We start from the raw sequence: 2,075 nt of genomic DNA on the forward strand, positions 1-2,075 counted from the left end.
GAGAAACACCCAAATGGGCGGCTCTTATAGACACTTAGTACAGGAAATGACCGGCCGAAAAGGAACATGAGTTGGCTCTGTTAGGCTGATAGCAATCTGTTTAGTTGAAAAGACATCCATTTTATCAACTTACAACGGGTTCTCATTTCCTACTTACGGTTTACAGTAGCCTGCTCCACCAATCTGAATACAATGACTTCTTGAAAACAATTCTCAAAACCTGACCCTTTGCCAGTTTTTTTTTTCCTTTGTCTCTTTATTTCATTTTGTTTCTGAACATTTTCTGCTAGGGCACGAAGAGAAGACTTTATCTAAATAATTTTGACTTCACTGAAAATTATTTGCTGTACCGAAAATTCTGAGTGTACTAAAAAGACATTGAGAAAATTAGTCTTCCTTTATTCACGCAAATTCTTTAGAAAGAGTGAGAGCTTTCCTATAATTGCTCATATAATTATAATAATAAATAATTATAATTAACAATTGTAATTATAATTTTTAGTGTCTAATGAGGATCTACTATGTACCAGTCATAAACTGTTCTAATTCTTAAAGTAATTAGTTTTGTTTTGTTTTGGAGATGGAGTCTTGCTCTGTCGCCCAGGCTGGAGTGCAGTGGCGTGATCTTGGCTCACTGCAACTTCCACCTCCCAGGTTCAAGAGATTCCCCTGCCTCAGCCTCCCCAGTACCTGGGATTATAAGTGCGCCAACACGCCCAGCTAATTTTTTTGTATTTTTAGTAGAGACTGGGTTTTGCCATGTTGGCCAGACTGGTCTCGAACTCCTGACCTCAGGTGATCTGCCCGCATTGGCCTCCCAAAGTGCTGGGATTACAGGCATGAGTCACCACACCTGGCCCTTAATGTAAATTAATTTAATCTTGCAACAAACCTATGAAGAAGAGATTACTAGCCCCAAATTACAGATGAAGAAACTGGGGCATAGAAAGGCTAGGTAACTTGCCCAAGGTCTCACAGCTAAGAAGTAGCTGAAGGATGATTTGAACCCAGGAACTTGCTGCACTGCCTCTCTGGGGCCTTGAAGTCCCAGCCTGGGTATTCTTCTTGTAAGGAAAAGATATAAAAGCAAGTTCTGGTTAAGGATCTAGATTTGCAGACTCTTGAGCTGTTGAATCTTAAACGGAATAATCTTCAATGAGAAAGTTGTCAAGCTCTAAACACTCACCCTAAATGTGTTCTAAATATTGATTTAAAAATTATTTGTGGCCACGCATAGTCGTCACGCCTTGATCCTAGTACTTTGGGAGGCCGAGGCGGGTGGATCACCTGAGGTCAGGAGTTCGAGACCAGCCTAGGCAACATGGCAAAACCCCGTCTGTACTAAAAACACAAAAATTAGCCGGGCAAAGTGGAGCATGCCTGTAATCCCAGCTACTCAGGAGGCTGAGGCACAAGAATCACTTGAATCCAGCAAGTGGAGGTTGCAGATCGCACTACTGCACTCCAGCCTGGGTGATAGAGCAAGACTCCGTCTCAGAAAATAAAAAATAATAAAAATAAATAAATAAATAAATATTTTTAAAAAATCATTTGCTCTCCTGATAGCTGTGCTCCTCAACAGGTATGAACAAGCACTTTTTCTAAACACAATTCTTTTTAAAAGAGGCAATTGGACCAGGCGAAGTGGCTCACAACTGTAATTTCAACACTTTGGGAGGCCAAAGCAGGACAATCGCTTGAGCCCAGGAGTTCCAGGCTGTGCTGACCTAAATTCATGCCACTGCACTCCAGCCTGGACAACAGAGCAAGACCCTGTCTCAAAGAAAAAAAATGTACTTCAAAAAGAGCTGTAAAAAATTAAAATAAAAGAGGCAAATTTATGAATCCTTATAATGAAACACAGTGTGACAATTTTTTACATTAAAAAATACTTTTGTGATGAAAAATATAACAACTTTATATATCTGGATTCCTTTAATAGTATAACAACCTAATTTAAAGTAAAATATTATTATCCAAGAAAAGGAGTTATTTCTATTCAGATTCACTATGTAAATCTAACGTACAATTCTAATCATTTGTGTTTCATAATTCCTGTACTTTTTGCATGGGAA

This window comes from Homo sapiens, chromosome 2 (genome assembly GCF_000001405.40).
Source record: "Homo sapiens chromosome 2, GRCh38.p14 Primary Assembly".
Taxonomy (NCBI): Eukaryota; Metazoa; Chordata; class Mammalia; order Primates; family Hominidae; genus Homo; species Homo sapiens.